At 36.0% G+C, this 21,660-nt stretch overlaps 1 long non-coding RNA gene across 1 annotated transcript in view; it reads right to left on the bottom strand.

The window, feature by feature from the left end:
* Positions 1–17,451, bottom strand: part of LOC107986068 (uncharacterized) — a 51,383-nt gene extending 33,932 nt beyond the window's left edge. The window contains exon 1 of the long non-coding RNA XR_001740619.2: positions 17,364–17,451. This is a non-coding gene — a long non-coding RNA (uncharacterized LOC107986068). The remainder of the gene's footprint in view (positions 1–17,363) is intronic.
* Between the last annotated feature and the right edge of the window lie 4,209 nt (positions 17,452–21,660).

The raw sequence follows: 21,660 nt of genomic DNA, 5'->3' as shown, positions 1-21,660 counted from the left end.
TGAGTTTTAGGAATGTTTTATCTAGTTCTGTGAGGAATAATGACGGGAATTGCATTGCATTTGTAGATTGCATTTGGCAGTATGGTCATTTTCAGAATATTGATTCTGCCCATCCATGAGCCTAGGATGTATTTCCATTTGTTTGTGTTGTCTATGATTTCTGTCAGCAGTTTTTTGTAGTTTTCCTTGTAGAAGTATTTCACCTCCTTGGGTTAGGTGTATTCTTAAGATTTTTTGTTATTATTGTTGTTGTTGTTTTTGTTTGTTTGTTTCAGCTATATTGAAAGGGGCTGACTTATTGATTTGATTCTCGGCTTGGTCACTGTTGGTGTATTGCAGGGCTACTAATTTGTGTGCATTAATTTGATATCCTGAAACTTGGCTGAATTCATTTACCAGTTCTGGGAGCTTTTTGGAAGAGTTTTTAGGGTTTTCTAGGTATACAATGAAGTCATCAGCAAATAGGAACAGTTTGACTTCTTCTTCACTAATTGGGATGCCCCTTTTTTTTTTATCTTGTCTCATTGCTCTGGCTAGGACTTCCAGTTGAATAGAAGTGGTGAAAGTGGGTATCCTTGTCTTGTTTCAGTTCACAGGGAGAATGCTTTCAACCTTTCCCCATTTAGTATAATGTTGGCTGTGGGTTTGTCATAGATGGTTTTTATTACTGTAGGGAGACCCCCTGAAACTATTGCTATGGAATAAAAGATGAAATGCTCCTGATTACTGTAAATAAAAAATTGCATGCAGGATTGTGTAAAGACAATGCCAGGTTGGACTGCCAGAATGAGCCAACAGCACATGATGTGCTTCCCCCGGAAGAGAGCCTATGAATGGACATGCAGTCAGGGAGGTTTCACATCACCAAGGTTCCTATACCAGAAAAGCAAATGTTCATAGCTCTGGGAATGGAATGTGACACTTGTGGAGAGCCTATAAATGGATGCATGAGGGGCGCCTGTCCATATGGATAAGATAGGGCTATAAACGCCCTCATCTTGTCACGGCTCTTCTAGGCCTCTTTAGGGTTAAGGCACACTCCCTTCTGAGAATTTCTGGTCTAACCGGTTGTCTAGCTTCACATCCTGTTTCTATGGATTGCTTGTAACCAGCTTTTGCTGCAACTGTTACTGCTGATTAATATCTTGCTAATCATAGATTATGGAAAGACTGTGTTTCTGTTTTAAGGCTCTGTTAGAAATTACTGATGCACACACTATATTGTAAATTCTTCTCCCTGTATACTATACTTCTGCATACAGATGTTATGTTAAAGAATTACTTCATCCCCATGTGACCATCTCACCTCATAATCAAATGACCCTAAATCCCCCACTAACCTACCCCCACCCTCACTAAACTTAATAATAAATGCTGGTATATCCAGTGCATTGTTGGCACCGCGGGACCAGAAGGCGGTGAACCCCCTGGACCCAGCTTTCGCTGTCTTGTATGTGTCTATTATTTCTCGACCGGCCGACCTGCCTGGGAACAAAGAGAAAGCCCGGTTGCATTGCAGGCTGCTGGCCAGATCTTGCAATAATTACCTTAAGTTATATCTCTTCTATGCCAATTTTGCTGAGGATTTAAATCATAAAGGGATGCTGAATTTTGTCAAATGCTTTTTCTGCATCTATTGGCATGATCACGTGATTTTTGTTTTTAATTTTGTTTATGTGATGTATCACATTTTTTGACTTGGGGATGTGAAATCATCCCTGCATCCCTGGTATGAAACCCAGTTGATCATGGTGGATTATCTTTTTGATATGCTGTTAGATTTGGTTAGCCAGTATTTTGTTGAGGATTTTTGCATGTATGTTCATCAGGGATATTGGTCTATAGTTGTTGTTGCTATGTCCTTTTCTGGTTTTGGTATTATGGTGATACTGGCTTCATAGAATAGTTTAGGGAGGACTCTCTCTTTCTCTGTCTTGTGGAATAGTGTCAATAAGATTGGTACCAATTTCTTGAATGTCTGATGGAATTCAGCTGTGAATCCATCTGGTCCTGCACTTTTATTTGTTGGTACCTTTTTTTTTTTTTTTCTCTGACGGAGTCTTGCTGTGTCTCCCAGGCTGGAGTGCAGTGGCCTGATCTTGGCTCACTGCAACTTCCACCTCCCAGGTTCAAGCAATTCTCCCTGCCTCAGCCTCCCAAGTAGCTAGGATTACAGGCACCTACCACCACACCCGGCTAATTTTTGTATTTTTTAGTAGAGACAGGGTTTCACCATATTGGCCAGGTTGGTCTTGAACTCCTGACCTCAGATGATCTGCCCACCTTGGCCTCCCAAAGTGCTGGGATTACAGGGGTGAGCCACCGCACCCAGCCTGTTGGTAACTTTTTAATTACCATTTCAATTTCACTGCTTGCTGTTGGTCTGTTCAGAGTTTCTATTTCTTTCTGGTTTAATCTAGGAGGGTTGCATATTTCTAGGAATTTATCCATTTCTTCCAGGTTTTCTAGTTTATGCGCATAGAGGTGTTCATAGTAGCTTTGAATGATCTTTTGTATTTCCGTGGTATTTGTTGTAACATCTCCCATTTCTTTTCTAATTGAGCTTATTTGGATCTTCTCTCTGTCTTTTCTTGGTTAATCTCACTAATGGTCTATCAATTTTACTTATCTTTTCAAAGAACCACCTTTTGGTTTCATTTATCTTTTGTATTATTGCTTTTTGTTTCAATTTCAGTTGGTTTGTTCTTATTTCTCTAGTTCCTTGAGGTGTGACCTTAGATTGTCTACTTGTGCTCTTTCAGACTTTTTATTGTAGGCATTTAATGCTATGAATTTTACTCTTAGCACAGCCTTTGCCATAGCCAGAGGTTTTGATAGATCAAGTCACTATTATCATTCATTTCAAAGAATTTTTTAATTTCCATCTTGATTTCATTGTTGACCCAACGATCATTCAGAAGCAGGTTAATTTACATGTTTTTGCATGATTTTGAGGGTTCCTTTTGGAGTTGATTTCCAATTTTATTCCACTGTGTTCTGAGAGAGTACCTGCTATAATTTCAATTTTCTTAAATTTGTTGACCCTTATTTTGTGGACTATCATATGATCTGTCTTGGAGAACGAATGCTACATGTGCTGATCAATAGCATGTATATTCTGCAGTTGTTGGGTAGAATGTTCTGTAAATATCTCTTAAGTCCATTTGTTCTTGGGTATAGTTAAGTCCACTGTGTCTTTGTTGGTTTTTTGTCTTGATGACCTGTCTTGTGCTTTCAGTAGAGAATTGAAGTCCCCCACTATTATTGTGTTGCTGTCTATCTAATTTCTTAGGTCTAGTAGTAATTGTTTTATAAATTTGTAATCTCCAGTATTAGGTGCATATATATTTAGGATTGTGACATTTTCCTGTTGGACTAGTTAATTTATCATCATATAATGTCCCTCTTTGACTTTTTTAACTGCTGTTACTTTAAAGTTTGTTTTGTCTAATATAAGAATAGCTACTCCTGCTCACTTTGGGTGTCCATTTGCATGGAATATCTTTTCCCATCCATTTACCTTAAGTTCATGTGAATTCTTATGTGTCAGTTGAGTCCCTTGAGGACAGCAGATACTTGGTTGGTTAACTCATCCATTCTGCCACTCTATATTATTTTAGTGGTGCATTTAGGCCATTTACATTCAACATTAGTGTTGAGATGCGAGGTACTATTCTATTCATCATGCTATTTGTTGCCTGAATACCTTGTTTTGTTTTCATTGTGTTGTTGTTTTATAGGTCCTGTAAGAATTATGCTTTAAGGAGATTCTATTTTGGTGTATTTTGAGGATTTGTTTCCAGATTTAGAACTCCTTTTAGCAGCCTTGTAGTGCTGGCTTGGTAGTGACAAATTCTCTAAACATTTGTTTTTCTGAAAAAGACTGTATCTTTTCTTCACTTATAAAGCTTAGTTTTGCTGGATACAAAATTCTTAGTGATAATTGTTTTGTTTAAGGAGGCTAAAGATAGAATTCTATCCAATCCCTTCTAGTGTGTAGAGTTTCTGCTGAGAAATCTGCTGTTAATCTGATAGATTTCCTTCATGGTTACCTGATGCTTTTGTCTCACAGCTCTTAAAACTATTTTCTTCATCTTGACTTTAGATAACCTAATGACTATATGCCCAGGTGATGATCATTTTGCAATGAATTTCCCAGGTGTTCTTTGAGTTTTTTTAAATTGGATGTCTAGATTATTAGCAAGGTTGGGGAAATTTTCCTTGATTATCCCTTCAAATGTTTTCTAAACTTTTAGATTTCTCTTCTTCCTTGAGAACACCAATTATTCTTAGGTTTGGTCATTTAACACAATCCCAAACTTCTTGGAGGCTTTATTCATTTTTAATATTCATTTTTATTTGTCTTTGTAGGATTGGGTTTATTCTCAAGCCTTGTCTTTGAGCTCTGACATTCTTTCTTCTGTTTGTTCATTTCTATTGCTGAGACTTTCCTGTGTATTTTGCAATTTTCTAAGTGTGTCCTTCATTCCCAGAAATTGCGATTGTTTTTTATTTATGCTCTCTATTTCAATGGAGATTTCTCCATTCATATCCTGTATCATGTTTTGATTTATTTAAGTTGGACTTTACCTTTCTCTGATGCCTCCTTGATTGGCTTAATAAGTCAACTTTCTGAATTCTTTTTCTGGCATTTCAGAGATTTTGTGTTGATTTGGATCCATTTTTGGTGAGACAGTATTTGGCAGACTGTTAAAGAACCTTATTTTATCATACTACCGAATCATTTTTCTGGTTCCTTCTCATTTGGATAGACTATATCAGAGGGAAGATCTGGGACTCAAGGGCTGCTGTTCAGATTCTCTTTTCCCACAGGGTGCTTCCTTGATGTGGTGGTCTCCTCTTTCCCCCAGGGATGGGGCTTCCTGACAGTCAAACTGCAGTGATTATAATTTCTTTTCTGGATCTACTCAGCCTGCAAACTACCAGTCTTTGGGGTGGTACTGGAGAGTGTCTGCAAAGAGTCCTATGATGTGATCTGTTTTCAGGTCTCTCGGGCACGGGTATCAACACCCTATCGATCCAGTGGAGGTAGCAGGGGAGTAAAGTGGATTCTGTGAGGGTCCTTGGTTGTTTTGTGTTAAATGTGCTCATTTTTTGTTGGTTGGCCTCCAGCCAGAAGGCGGCACTTTCAAAGCACATAAGCTGCAGTAATATAGGGAGGACCAAGCAGTGGACAGGGCCATGGAGCTCCCAAGAGATTATAACCTTTGTCTTTGGCTACCAGGGAGGGTAGAGAAAGACCACTAGGTCAGGGCAGGGATAGGCTTGTCTGAGCTCAGCCACTCCTTGGGCAAGGCTTGCTGCATCTGCTGTGAGGGATAGGGGTATAGTGCCCAGGCCAAAGGAATTATTTTCCCGAGGAAATTATGGCTGCCTCTGCCGTGTTGCACAGGTCACCAGGAAAGTGGGGGAAAGCCAGCAGGTACGGGCCTCACCTAGCTCCCATGCAGTCTGCAACCTGAAAGGCCGATCACACTCCCACTGTTCCCCTACAACAGCACTGACTTTATATCCAGCCTGTTGGTGAGCAGGGCTGAGAACTTGCCCTAGGCTACAAGCCCCCCAGCTGAGAAAGCAAGCCAACTCACAGTTTCTCAGCCGTCCCATGGAGCCTGGGACAAAAGGTCTGTGGATTCTCTCACTTTTCCTGCTAATTTCCTGAGTTAGTTCTTGGAGCAAAAGCTCACAATGTGAGTCTTCACATGCTGCTCCATCCATCCAAGTGGGAGCTGCTAGTTATTCTGCCTCAGGAGAATATTTTTGTTAGTCCTTTTTCATTTGGAACTGTGACAGAAATTGATAGATTTCCTGTGTACTTTGTTTGCTGGCGGACAATTTTTTTTTTTCTAAACCATATGTCATAGAAGCTCTTGGCTTTTAACATACCAGTAAAATGTGTGAATCTCAGATTCCAGTTTTCCATTCAGCATTTTCCTAAGGCCTAGTCTTCTAATTCCCTTGTGATTAAGAATTTCCACAATTTTAAGTTTGTAAAATTCCAGGATAGACCTGGCATCCACACTTGCTTCCTGGCTTTCATTGATTGCTCTCTTTTATATATGCTTCAAGAATACTTATTATTTCTTGAAAACTGAGAAATATTTAAGATATGTTTGTAGCAATTTATCTATAATCAACCGCATTTTGCATTATCTTGTCCATTTCATGGCTTCTTTTCAGCTTTATGTTATACTTGAAACCGGTTCTCTAATTTGAGCCACTCTGAGGCTGTAATGCTCCTATCTACTAGCTTCTCTTTGGATTCTGTTCTGCAGGCAGATTCTGGTTTTATCTGCTCGGGTGAGTAAGTCATTGCCCATCTCTCTATTTCCACCTTTATAGTCTTTGAGATTTTTCTTCTCTCATTCATTCTCTCATTTTCCTTATCATTGTGGATTTCGAACTAAAAGTCAATCATTATAACAAGTGAAATTTGGGGGTAGTTTGCAGTTAAGAATGAGTATTTAATCTTTCACACTTACTTGGAAGTCTTGGTTATAAATGTTTCATTTAATCAAACCTACCTCTGATAATAACTACCATTCACTGAGCTCATACTACTGTTAAGATGCTTTACATAAATGATTAAATGACAATTGTACTAGTGTTATTTGTGGTAGTCATTGATATTCATCACACATTTTCAAGTCCTCTTCTCCTTTAGGGCACAAGGTATGATTGCATCCTCCCACTCCATTTGAGGTTTGGCATGGCAATGCAACCTGTTTGGCTAACAAAATGTAACTGACAATGACATATGTCATTTCTGGGTGGAAGTTGCAAGATCTAATGCACAATATGCAGAACATTTCCCCTTTCCATGTTTCCATGGAAGCACCGATCATGATGAAATCTTTGTAAACCTGCATCCTCAAGTGACTACAGCATGCAGACTCCCATCAACCCAGGTGGAACAAGTGTTATAAGCAAGAAATAAACATTTTTTTTTTGTAAAGCCACTGATATTTTGATGTAGTTGTTACAACAACATAATACACCTTATTCTGAATAATGTAATGTTCATTGATAGATGAGAAAAAATAAATTATTTCCAATATAAAATGGCTATTGATTGATGGGACTGCTATTCAAACCCAAGATTATTTTATCAAAACCCCATGTCATTTGTGCTATGCCATGCTGCCTTACATGCTGTGGAGTTTCTCACATTTGTTAATGTCTTAAGTCAATCGATACATATGAAGCCAATGACAGTGGCATCTTCCTGAAATCTAGAGGTCTGTCTTACAAATGAGCAATGGTAATACATGATGTTTTATTTTTGAAGCAGTTAGATGGAGAATATATACTAATTGCTGTCATCTGTTTTACCTTTGAATTACAATGACAGAGCAGAATTTCTCTGGTAGAGATTCTTCCTCAGATATCATGATATCTAACCAAAGAAAAATGTTTCAGAAACAACACCAGCCTGACACTGATCAATTCAGAGAAGCTTTCTGACCATTAATTAGACTTTTAAAAATTGTAGCCCCACCTTATCATACAAGCAAAATAATTTATATGACTTGTTAAAATATTATCTTTTTAACTTGTTCTTTGATGCTGCTACTCAGGAACACATCTCTGCTCACCATCATGACCCATGCATCTTCATTACCAACAGCACCATGGCAGGTACTGGTCCTGTCCTTGGGTATAGAGTGCCCAAGGTATAAAGGCATACTTTATTCCTTGGGTATAAAGTACTCAAGGTATAAAGGTTCTGTCCTTGGGTATAAAGTACCCAAGGTATAAAGTCGGCTCCTGTTTGCCTTTTTTTTTTTTTTTTTTGGTCAGATTTTAACCCTGCATTTAGACTGAGGAGTAGCTCTCATTTGAATGCTGGGCCATCTCACAGCAAGCAACACTTCTTTTCACTCCAATCCAAACTGTCTACAAGACCGTCTGTTTCTATAACAGGGTCCAAGTCTGCTTTATGGACATATTTAAAAAATATATTGATCCTTGTGTGATAGACCTATCTTACGTCTACACATCTACTGGGCTCTCTACAAATTTCCAATTTTGCAACCTTTCTCATAAAGCCTTTTTTATACACATGTGTATATACTCACAATACTTGGATTTTCACTAAGACAAAAAGCACAGAATAGATAATTTCCTCTGAGTTTTCACAAAATGTAATAAAAATGCAAAGCTGAGCTCCTGATATTTCCCCCTAAGGGCCTCTCCTCAACTTCGTTCAAGCTCTAAGCAGCTTTATTTTTACACAATGTTTTAAATCACAGAAACTTTAACTCATATACTTGTTTCCAAGATAATACCTGGCAGAGGCAAGTCTCCATCTGAATTTTATTCCTTGTTCTTCTGGATTCCAGCTCTAGTCAGAATGTGTAACTTCTGCTTTCAGTAGGTCCCCTTCCTCCTACCCTTGCAGTACCTCCACTGTGTTACAATGTGCACATCTGGTGGGAAGATCATGTCAGTCATCTCTTTCGCATTATTCTCTTTAATTTGAGTCCCGGGTGGCTCAAATTAAATCCATGTGAGTATATCCAGCCAGAGACACTGCAGACCTCATCTGTAGGGCTGTTTTCAAGCTTGTGGTCTCTCAGCACTGGCCCAAAACAGCCTTTCTTCTTCTTGTCAGCATAGATGCAAATTTCAGGGAGTTACCTTTCTCTGGAAAGATTTTCTACAGTTTCCCATGTTGAATGAATTAAATCAATTTTTTTATGGTCTCAGATTAGTAAACCTATTTAGCACGTTACTGAAATGCTTCTCTCCCACACACTTTTGTTATCCTGGAACAAGACAGACACCAGTGGATTTCTCTTGGCTTAAAAGGCAGGACCAGCTACATCATTTGTGAAACCCAAAGCAAGATAAAAATGTCAGACACTTGTTAAAAAATATATTAAGAAGTTCATGATGTAAACAAGAGGACATTACATTAGGAGCGGGGCCTCCATTCTAAGTGAGGGACATGTGTGACTGTACAGATTTCATATCCATGAAGCCAGCTTTTCTGAGGGAAAGACTACTTTGATAAGGCACCCTTCTCAAGAGTAGTGTTTCTGGGGAGCCAATCATAATTCCAAAACAGTCCCAAACACCGTAATCCTGAATGATTTTAAACATCAAAATCTTTAAAGTCAAAAATTCCCCAAATCACAATTGTGAAACATCAAAATCCTGAAAATATAATCCTGGAAAAATAATTTTAAAAAAGTTAAAAGACATTTCTTTGCAAGTGTCAAAGGAGACTTATCTGAGAAACAGATAAAAACATGGCAGAATACTTCATAGGCCACTTTGCACAATAAAATAGAAAAAAAAAAGCTTAGATATTTTTGCAAACATAAACACTCGGGTATACTAACAACAGTCATATGGGTATAATAGTTATGAGCAAATGAACCATATTTATAAAAGAATAGGTCCAAAAAGAAACTATAAACACGTTACCATGTTTGGTAATTGTGTGCACCTAGCTTTACAATTGTGGTCATCTGAAATACCATGATGAACAACACAAATCAAAAATTATGTTGGGTCACCACTGCATATGCAGTCACTTAAAGAGCCAAGATCTCAAGAAATTTTATCTTTCACAAATATAAACATAACAAAGAACATCTTTGTACATGTTGAGAAAATTTAACGTTATGTATATACACAATTCTTATACACAAGGGCAACATTGTGATAATGCACTTTCATGGACTTAAATTTGCAAAAAGTGCATAAAACAAATTAGAATTCTCTAAAAGTCTTTACACAATTTATACTTCCAGTATTGGAAACGAGGTGAAGATGAAATACACAGCATCATTAATTGTAAAAGAAAAAAAATTCTGACAATTTAAAATAGTGAAAAAAAACTAAAAAAAAAAAAATCTAAAAACGAAATTTAAAATTTAATAAATGAAAATTGTATTATTAGGACAGATTATGGGCAATTGGCACAGAGGCAGTTTGTAAGAGCTGGCCAACTTTCATAATCTTTAGCTATAGTCTGAAGTCCTGCATCACAATGAATAGCTAGCTGGGGTTTTTTTTGTTTGTTTTTTTTCTTTCTTTCTTTCAGGACATGACTCTCCTTGGAGAATATGATCACTTCCTACATGGCACTGCTTTTTTTGAAATCGTTCTATAAATGGATATCCACCAAAATGAGCATTCCCTATTCAATTTTCCCATCTTTTGCCACGCTTCCATGTTGTTTTAAGTACTCAGAAATCCATTCCACATACACTCTTATATAGACCACAAACTTGGTGAAAACTTTTAAAGTAGTCAGTAACTTCCTTGGCTTCCTCAGGCAAATGCAGCTTTAATTAATAAAGAGCTCCTGCAATGTCATCAGCTGGAAAGAATGCCAATGTAGGCAAATGACACATTTTTAACTTGAAGTTTTTACTGTTGCAATATCACATGGCCAATCCATGACTCTGAATTTTCCAAGAAATGCAAATAAAAACAATAATAATGTAATATTTCGGCCTAACATAATGCAACTAATATGATGTAACTATTCTGAATACACTTCAAAACACACAAATCTGTTCCCCAAAATTTGGCTTTCAGGAACATTTGGGATTATGGCATTTTGGATTGTGTCTTTCAGGATTATACTCCAAACATACGTTTCAGGTGTTATCTTCTCAGGGATGTCCTGAAGCCCTAATATGAAAATTTTGACTCATAATCTTCCTTAAAGCTTCAGATAGGCAAATCTAATGGAGCTTTCATTGCAAATAGGATACTTGATGGCCCACCATTACTATCCTAGAATCCCCAAAGCCATATAGAAATTTGGACCCAGTCTGGAACTGAACACCAGCCACACAAATGTTCCCCACAACAAAACAAGACTTAAGTTCAATACTACATTGAATTTTAAAGCAAAGATTGAGTCTGCTGAACCTTGCTGCTTTAGTACAAAAATGTTGTCCCAAATCAAGTTCTCTCTGAATACCTTCTAATGCCTACTGGCACCATTTTGTGGGATCACAACTCCTGAGGGGAAGTGGGACAAGTTCATCTATTACAAATTTCAAAGGTTCTTTCAAATAAAGCCAAAGATGCTTGAGGGGCTACTTCCTTATAGTGCAGTTCATGACCATGTGTCTTGGAACATGATTGAGAAAACTATTTTGCAATAGTAACACGGCTAATTCCCTAACTAGCATTTTCATATAAGTATAAAATTCTTAAGTCTAAATTTGCTATTTAGGTAGGTAGAAAAAGTGACAGAGAATAAGCATGATCCCTTTTAGGAAAGTTACTGTTAATAGAACAAAATAAATGGTGTAAAACTGAATGCCAACATAAGCTGTCCAGTTCTCTACTTCTTCAGTCTCATTATTTCATATTAAAAATAATCTCTCATTGCAAAAATGCCATACCACTTATTTCCATTTAAGTGATTCTGTGTTGATGTGTTGCTGCATTTCTAAGCAATATTGTTTTCCAGGTAAATCTCAACCGTTAGCATTCTACAGATAGGAGACACCAAGAAAATCACCTTCCACAGGCAGTCCTGAAAACACCTATTAAGGTGTTTTTAGCAAATATGAGATTGTGCAAATAAGATATGTCAAATAGCATCCCTGGCACCAATGGAAGTAGAATTCCTTCATTTTCTCACATCTTCACAAGTGAAAACCATCTGATGACAAAGCAACTTGCACACCCTTCCTTGTGGTTGACTTCTTTTTCTTGATTTTAAACTCCTAAACACAAAAGAAAGAAATCTAACACTTCCTTGATCCTTAGACTGCCTGTCCCCTAATTATGGGCCTCTTCTTTGTTTCTCTATCACCTCTATTCTCAACAGGAATAATAAGCAGAGATAAACAGATAATAGATAAATAACTAAACATAGAATAGTGTAACTTCGAAATGCATTTTTAAATGGGTGAGGGAGGCATTAGAAAAAAATCTGCTAAATTGCCAATATCAGAATTTTACAACTAGTACTAAATTTTTAGCGATGCTCTTCATATCATTTGTTTTTATCTACCTTAATAAATACTTTCATAAGCTGAGTTAGGGCCACTATATCAGGGCTAGATTTGTGTGTTTCCTTTGGCATACGTAGATACATTATGTACTTTTTAAATTTTAAACTTTTAGTATCAATATTTTAAAATATTTATCTCTGAGCACCTCTGAGATACAAAGATGAAACCGGCAGCATTCTTACCTTGAAGGAGTTTAAGTCTAGTGAGAAGACAGACAAAAAAATTAATGATTAGTATAAAAAATGTTAAGTATTATGATTAAGCTAGGAATTAAAAATACCTTTTCATTGGTGCTAGTCCAAAATTTTAAATGACCACAGAACCAGTGTTCATCCCACCCCATTAGTGATAGCCTCTTTTTAAAATCCATGCATAAGAAAGTCAGCCAGTCCCTACACTCTGTTACTTCCGAAAGTCAGATAATCCCTAAGTATCAAACTTCTTATAACCTTAGAGAAGACTGAATCTGCTTTTTCAGTGTGTCGTAGGCATAGTTATCAAGTGACTTTAATAATTGTACTTATCAAGTAATAATTCAGCTTCTTGGTGTGTTTGCTTAATGTAAGGGGAAGGGTGTCTTGTCTCTCAACAAAGATGTGTAAAGCTGTGGGAATTTTCTGGAAAATAGATCATGATGAAGGGACTACTAACTCCACATGATGCTGGATAAGAGGATGGCTAGGGAGAAGGGGAAGCAAGTGGTCAAATGATTCTTTAAAGGAAAAACTTTGAACTGAGGTTTGAAGATAGAAATCTGCAAATTCATTAAGTTGTAGATGAGTTTCTCAGGCAGAAGGAACTGATGAGCAAACTAAAGGAAACTTTTGACTTTCTAGTACATTTGAGGAACTACACCTAATGCTTAATGGTTCAAAAAGACTGCAGGTGGATATATAATTGAAGATAAGACAGGTAATATGTGCAGGTGCAAAACTCTGCATGGTACATTGGTATAATGGGAACTCAATAAAAGATTTAACCTGAGGAGTAGAAAATTAGTTTGACATTTTAGAAAAAAAATTATCTCAGAATGTTAAGGATGGATTCGAAGTGCAGAGACTCTTACAGAGGACTTGTTACACCTGTAATGAATTTTGGATATCCTCCAGGAAAACTTCTTTATTTTGAAGACAATAAAAATAAAGCCTAGTGGCTTATTTTTAAGTGACTCATTCAAAGTCACAGAACTAAGACTGGAACTCTAAACAGCTACTCCAATTTCTTTGTAAAACTCAAAACAAGCTACAGAGTCACATTCCTTTTTCCTATGACTAAATGCCTCTGCAAGAAAGAATTTCAATGTATAGTATAGGAAGAGCTCAACTCTGCACCTAGGGACACCTTGTTATTTCTGTTTCTTAACTGTCCCGTCACGAAAAGGAAATGTAAATAAGAGCTCCCATGTCAATAATTTCCTGGATCATCTATGTATCTTCTTAGCCAAAGACAATTCTAAGGTTCTATCTCGATGGTCAATAATTTGTGATGTTTGTTGGTTTGGTACAGATACAGTGCTGGACTAAAATAACAAATGCCTGGATGATGAGTGATGTGCCAGTAGTAAGATACTTGGCTAAGTGTCATATGACTGAATGGGACTGAACATTCAGCATATATCTAAAATGCATTTCTCTACATTTGAAGGAAACATACAGAGTATTTAAACTAATTTATTCATTTCAAAGTTTAAAGTCAAAAAAGATAAAGACGTTAGCCCAAGTTCATACTGTCAAAAAGCAGAAGGAAAAACAAAATTCCAGTATAACAACCTGCAATTCAGGCCAGTTATTCCAAGCTGCTCAAAAGTTTCAACACAAAAACAAATGGAAAGATAATTGGCTTTAGTTCAGTCCTGATGATTGTTTTCTTTTGTTAATTCTGGTGTTGAAATATATCTCACTTTTAAAAAATGAAAGAATACTTCACAAACAATGAAACACATATTTGTCTACCTCTGTAAGTTTTGACAGTTGCATAGACCTATATATTCACACTTAAAATAGGATATTTTTACAACCCAACATATTTCTTCTTGCTTCTCTCCAGTCAGTTCCACCATTCAGACAACCACTTTCTGACTTCTATGATTATAAATTAGTTTTGCCTGTGGTTGAGCTTTAAATGAATAGATAATAGTATGCTTTTGTGTGTCTGGCTTCTTTTGTTTAATATTTTTTAAATACATCCATGTTGTTGCACACATCAGTAGTTAAATTCTCTTTTATTGCAAGGTAGTATCCATTTATATGACTACTTCACCATTTGTTTATACATTCAACTATTAATAGACATTTGAATTATACTTCCAGTTTTTTAAATTATTGTGAGTAAAGCCGCTCTGAACATCTTGTACAGGTCTTTCTGAGGACATGTCCTCAATATTCTTGGATAAAAACTTAGAAAGGAAATTGCTTGATTGTAAGGACAGATGAATATTTAACGATACAAGAAACAGCCAAAACAGTTTTCAAAACGGCTGTATGATTTTATATTCGCGCCAATAATGTATAATAGTTTTAGTCACACCACATGCTTGCCAGTATTGATATTGTCAGCTTTTAAAATTTTAGCCACTTTAAAATGTGTATAGTGGCATCTCATTGTGAGTTTACTTTTGTATTTCACTAGCGACATATCATGTGCTTATTGGCCATTTTAATATCTTTTGTTAAATGTCTCTAAAAGCCTTTTTCCTATTTTCATATTATTTTTCTCCTTTAGATTTGTAGGTAGAAGTTCTTTATATATTCTGGATATAATTAGATTTTCAGAAGTATTTATTGTGAAAATTCTACCCCAGATTGTGGCATACCTTTTTGGCTTTGTAATAATGGTATAAAGCAAAGAGATGTTTTTAAGTTTGATGAAGACAAATTTATTTTTTTTGAGTTAGTGCTTTCTGTGTGTTCTCTAAGAAATATCTGCCTGCCCCAAGACTGTGAATGTATTCCTCAATACTTTCTTTTAGAGGTTTTTTATTTTTAGTTTTTATGCTTTAACTATATGAGCAACTGACAAATATTTTCCAAATAGTTTCCAAGGAGGTCAGGCTATTTCATTTGTCCACCCACAAAGTATGTAATCAACCTAAATTAGCTTTTGTTGGTACTACAAAAAAAGTGGAGGTTCATTTTTTTCCCCTTATGGATATACAGCTGATCTAGCACAAGTTTTTGAGAATCCTTTTCTTTCCATATTTAATTGCCTAGGATTTTTATCAAATAACTATTTACCATATATATGTGGGTCTATTTGGGGACTCTCTATTCTGTTTAGCGACATATTTGTCAATTTGATTCCATGATCTTACTGTGTTGATTACTGTAGCTTTATACAATGTTTTCAAATTAGGTATTGTCAGTCCTTTTATCTTCATTTTCCTTTGTTAATGATATTGTTAGTTTTCTAGATTCTTTGCTTTTTCAAATAAATTTAGAACCAGCTTGTCAATTGCTATGAAAAAGTCTTGAGATTCTGATTGGATTTGTATAAAATATATTCACCAATCTGAAGAGAATTTACATCCTAACTATATTGAGTGAATAAATCTATTCCCCCAATGCATTTCCCTTTACATAGGACTCTAATATGTCTCACTAATGTGTTTACTTTTCAGTTTACATGTACATATATTTCATTAAATTTACACTTAATTATTTAATGCTTTTGATGTAATTATAAATGAAACAGCTTTTTGAATTCTACTTTCTAATTGTATGCTGCCTTTATATGTAAAGGCAATTAATTATTATATATCGATCTTGTATTATGCAACCATGTTAAAGTCACTTACTATTTCTAGTATTTGTGATGTATATACCTCATGATGTTCAAAATACAGTTACATCATCTACAAATAAAAAACAATTCACATTTTTCCTTCCAGTGCATATGGATTTTATTTCTTTTTCATATATTATTGCACTAGCTGAACCTTCCAGTACAATGTCCAATAAAAGTGGTGAGAATTGACATTCTTGACTTGTTTCCAATCTTGGGGGGAAGCATTCAATATTTCACCATTAAGGAAAATGTTATCAGTAGATTTTAGTAGATTTTTTCCCAAACAAAAAGGCCCCTTCTGTTCATAGTTACATGCTATTTTTTTCATCATGAATGAGTGCTGAATTACGTTAACTTCTTTTTCTTCAAATTTTAAAATTACAATTTATATATTTTTATTACTTAAAGGACAAAAATCACTTTGCTTGTTTTGTTTTGTTTTGTTTTTGAGATAGGATTCTTGTGAGTTCAAGTGATCCTCAACCCTCCCATCTCATCCATCGCAAGTAGATGGGATTACAGGTGCATGCCACTGTGCCTGATGTGTGTGTGTGTGTGTAAATCATTAAACCAAATTTGCTTTCCTGCAATAAATCCCACTTAGTCATAAGAAACACTATCCTGTAATTTTTTTTCTTATAATGTTTTGTCATGTTTTCTTATGAGGGTTATTCTGAATCCATAAGGTGGAATTTGTTAGTTCCCTTTCTAGTTTCTGAAAAAGCTTTTATAAAAACTGTACTATTTCTTAAAATTTTGATACAGCTTATAACCAACTGGGTCTGATGTTTCCTTTGTGAGAGGAATTTTGATTATCAACTCATTTTTTAAAAAACATATATAGCTATGCAGATTTCCTATTTATTCAATTTTGATAGCTGCATGTTTCTAGAAACTATCCACTTCATTCAAGTTGATAAACTTATCTGCAGAAAAAGTTTCATAATATTACTTTTTATGTTTTTAAAATTTCTATATGACCTATTGTAACAGTCCCTCTCACATTTGTGATTTATTTTCTTTTCTATGTATTTATTTTTGGCTGAGTCTTCTTAATAGTTTATTCAATTTTGTTAAACTTTTCAAAATGCCACACTTTCTGTTTTTCCACATTCTTTCCAATACCGGGTATGGTCTATCTTGTTAATTTTAACTATAATATTGGGTTTAACGACTAATTATATTGAACTTGTTTATGGGCTCATTTGCAATCTATGTATCTTCTTTGGTGTGATGTTCAAACCTCGTCTTTTAAAATTGTGTTATTGTTAGTTTTAAATGTTCTTTAAATATTCTAGATACAAGAAATCTCACTTTTTTCTCAGAACAAAGGTTTAAAAATCACTTAAACGGTATCTGTGTGGGCCATTTTTCCAGAAAAAGAATAGGGCAAATAGAAACAAAGCAGAACTGAGAGGTGAAAAGTTTTTAACAGCTATGCGTAAACACCCTGATCTAGCTATTCTTGAGACTACTGGATTATTCAGTTAGGTGAAGCAATGTGTTCTCTTTTGCTTAAATTAATATGTCTGGTTTCTATTTTGCAACCAAAAATATTTCACTTACCACTTTATGTACTTCTCTGTGCACAGGGTGGAAGAGTTCTGCAGCAGCCTAGATAACCTTCCAATCCACGGGTTCCACAGGAAGTAACAAGAGTCTCTAAATCAATTACAAAATCCAAGGAAAGAGAATCTCATTTATTGGATCAGGTGACTATGAGCAGATAGGTCGTTCATATGACTCACTCCTCAAGCATCATGAGTTGCGGAATAAGACGTTAAGAAGAGCATATGGGAAGTTTCCATAATATGAGTGAAGCGATAAGGAGAAAAAAAAATAGTTATCTCTTTACGCTAGACATTCACTAATATGATTTTACAAAAAAGTAACCTCAGTTGCATAACACAAACAAAATAGGAAGAGGAGGGCAACGAAGAATAGAAACTTGAGTAAATAAATTGAATACAGATTGAAATTTAGAAGACTCTGTCTTAAGAAAGAATCGTGAAAATGAAGGCATGATTGAACAAATTCATGTAAGCATCTTGACTTTAAAGGTAAATTTACCTAGAATGTTTGAACTTAATCCTTGGTTTAGCATTTTAGTACAGTGTGTCTTTGCCCTTAGGGATCCTTCATTAGCTTTGGGTACTTAAAATCAGTTGTTAGTTAGCTGGTGAGAAGCACCTTCCCTGCAGGCACTGGCATTTCAAAAACCTTCCCTTTCTTCCTGAAAGCAGCTTATACCTGCCGTTTCTTATCTGCACACAACAGGGAGACTGTTTAGAGCCAGGGGAGACAGCCAGTGAGCATTGCTAAGCTTGAAGATTCAAACCACATTTCTGTGTCCCGGCCTATTGCATCCCTATTTTTAGGTTCTCCGCTAAAATTTTATCTTCTTACTTTTTATCTCAAAGCTCAACCTGAGCTCTTCAGCCTAGAAAGTCTAATGCTGCTTTAACTCACACTTTTCTGACTGTTTCATCTTCTGGATGTCAGCATCTGGCCCATACCCGGTCCATATCCAGCTTGATTCTCAGGATTCCTGTGCCAATGTATTTGTTTATTCTAAACTTAGGGAGATGCTAGCATTTAATCTTATGCCTAAACTCTGATCCCAGCTACATCTTCAGATTCATGGCTTCATATGCCCCTGTTATGGCAAAGGAACATGGGGCACAATCTCTTACTGCCTTAAAATTGTGCTGTTTGTCTCACCTTTTATTAGTTTTCAAATATGGATTCCAAATTTTTCAGAATATAAGTGATCCACAATATAGTGCTGACCAATCAGAGAAGCCCATTGTTCTTCTGTCTCACCAAAGATGCATTAATCAAGTGACTATATTTACTAGAGGATTAGTATGCCTCAGTCATAAACAAACATTGTTGAGGACGTATTATTTGTCAATAACTGTGAAAATCTGGAGATCCTTAAAGGAAATAATAAATATACCAATAGCTGACATTTATTGAGCACTTACTACATACCAGACATTTGGGGAGTACTTTAATTGTACTGCTTATATTATATTTTCAATAACCCTATGTCATATTTATCATTGTTATTATTGTTCCCACGTTATACTTAAAGACACTGAGGCACAAAAGGGTTAGTAAGTGATTTGTCTTAGATTATTAATCTATGAAGTGACCAAGTCAAGATTTTTACTCTAATTTTATTGCCAGAGCTTATTCTTCTGTTCAGGTGGGGAAGAGAGCCAGGTAGAAATAATATACAATAATAAGAGCAAAAATGCTCTTGCATGAATAAATTACCAAGGGAATACCAGAAAGTACAACGTATTCCTTGAGTGGGAAAAGGATAAAGATTAGAGTTAACTTCACAGGGGAAAAGATATGATTGAGGTAGGTATTGAAGTGTAAGGAGAATGTGAACAAGGCGAGGAAGGCAACATCATTCCAGGCAGAGGGAACAGACTGAACAAGATTAGAGATGGCCTTGTGAAGGTATCATAAAGCAGCAATAAGCTTTCTCATTCTCCACTAAGAATCTATATTGAATCTTTGGACTTGTGCACAGGGCTCTCCAGTGAAAATCTCTCACGTCAGCCAGAGGAGAAAAAGAAAATTTATGTAGAAGAAATATTTTACGTCTTCTCTTTTCCACAGGTTTGTTACAGGGATCTGAGGAAGGGTCTGGCACAAGGGAGGAAGTCAGCAAAGACAAACTTGGGGCTACCTTATACCTGGGGTCCTAGTACCAGAATCAATTGACTACCTCAAGTCTAAATTCTTTTCTATCAAGCAAAATGATATTAGATGACTAATTTTATTTTATTAACTTTTAAATAATCCTTTGCCAATAAGAGGAGACTCTACATGCCACATGCTGCAAGCCTTAGAATTGCTCTAATGCCTCCTGCTGCCTCTGTGAAAACTAAGATTCTCAAATCTTTTCCCCATCACCTGTCTTTCAATTTTCATGACCTTTTGGCTGTTTCAGGGTCTTCCTCCAACATCCTCTAACTTTTCAGACTATTCTTTTGCAAAGCCACACAGAGAAAGGCCATGCCATTCATTTCTGGGAAATGGCCTATCCTGGTTCCATTTCTCTAAATGGCCTATTTTAGTAAATTACTATCTGAGTTCTCTAAGATGATGGCTGTGATCTCTTCTACCTGGCAAATTGTGTCAGCCATTTTGTACCATTGGACCAGTGCTGGGTCTTGGCCCTGTCAGACTCTGAGCCACCTATGTCATAGTTCTGGCTGATCTGTGAGACTGGTGATTCTTTTGTCTCTCACTGGAACCGCAGCACACAGTAGCTACTGTTCACCTGTGGTTTTGACTCACAAAATTATTCCTTTCCTTATTCTGAAACTGTTCATTGCACTAAGTTCTTTGCTGTGGAATATTTTACATCTCACCATTTATCTTTCATTAAGGTCTGGTTCAATGTTTTGCTACTTCTGGGTTTGAAAGGGTAATTCACTTGATTACTATTTTGTACTAATAGAGTAGGAAAATCAAAGTGCAGGCATGGCACCTAAGGGTAAACTGTGCTTTGTACACATGGTGGTTTCTTATGCACGGCAGTTAGCAAGTCCTCAAAGGAAAATTCAGAACCCAAATAGTTCAAAACAAATAAAATCAATGAATTACAAAGGAAATATATTACTGATGTCCAACTTACAGCAAGTAGTTCATATAAAACTATTAATTAAGACACAGATTCAGAACATGTAACATAGTGCATGTATTTCATATCTTCCTATTCTTAATCATCTTGTTGTTCGTTAGTCATGTTTTCAAAACTGTACTAGTCCATTCTCACACTCCTAAGACTGAGTAATTTATGAAGAAAGGAGGCTTAATTAACTTACATGTCTGCATGGATGGCTGGAGAGGCCTCAGGAAACTTACAGTCATGGTAGAAGGTGAAAGGGAAGCAAGACATGTCTTATCATGGCGACAAGAGAGAGAAAGAGAAAGAGACAGAGGAATTGCCACACACTTTTAAACCATCAGATCTTAACAGATCTCATGAGACTCTATCATGAGGCAGCACTAGGGGGATGATGCCAAACCGTTAGATACCACCTCCATGATCCAATCACCTCCAACCAGGCTCTACCTTCGACATGCAAGGATTACAATTTGACTTGAGATTTCAGTGGGGACAGAGAGTCAAACTATATTAAAAACCATATTTTAAACATTATTAGCCAGCTCTCTGTATACACATATTCCACATCTGAGGATTCAACCAACCATGAATAGAAAAAAAATGAATAAAAAATACAACAATAAAATAATACAAATAAAAAATACAGAATAACAACTATCTATATAGCATTTACTTTGTATTAGGCATTATAAGTAATCTAGAAATGATTTAAAGTATATGAGAAGATGTGCTTAGGTTATATACAAATACTGTACTGTGCCATTTCATGTAAGGGACCTGAGCATCTTCGGATTTTGGCATCCATGGAAGTCCTGGAACTAACCCCTACAGATACCGAGAAACAACAATATCTAAATTTTCTTTTCAGTGGTATGTCCTCTACATATATTTGATCTTATCAATACTCACAAAACTTTTATGAAAAGGCAATATTCCAGGCTCTGAGACCCTTTTGCCATGTATCCCTTATATAAGACAAGAAGAATTTCATGCCACAGATTTATCTTTAGGCTCCCAGAGATCTTTTATTGAAGTCCTTAACAGTGATTTTTGGCTTAATCTGAATATTTCAGTTGTTCTCTTTTCTCTTCACACTGACCAGTTTACTAGAAGATAAGAAGCTACTATTAATAGCGCTCTAAAGTTTTTACATCATTATAAAGTGCTTTATAGTCCCATCTTCATTCTCAAAATGAAACTGATGAAGAA

This window comes from Homo sapiens, chromosome 3 (assembly GCF_000001405.40).
Source record: "Homo sapiens chromosome 3, GRCh38.p14 Primary Assembly".
Lineage (NCBI taxonomy): Eukaryota > Metazoa > Chordata > Mammalia > Primates > Hominidae > Homo > Homo sapiens.
This window is presented reverse-complemented; position numbering and strand designations above follow the sequence as displayed.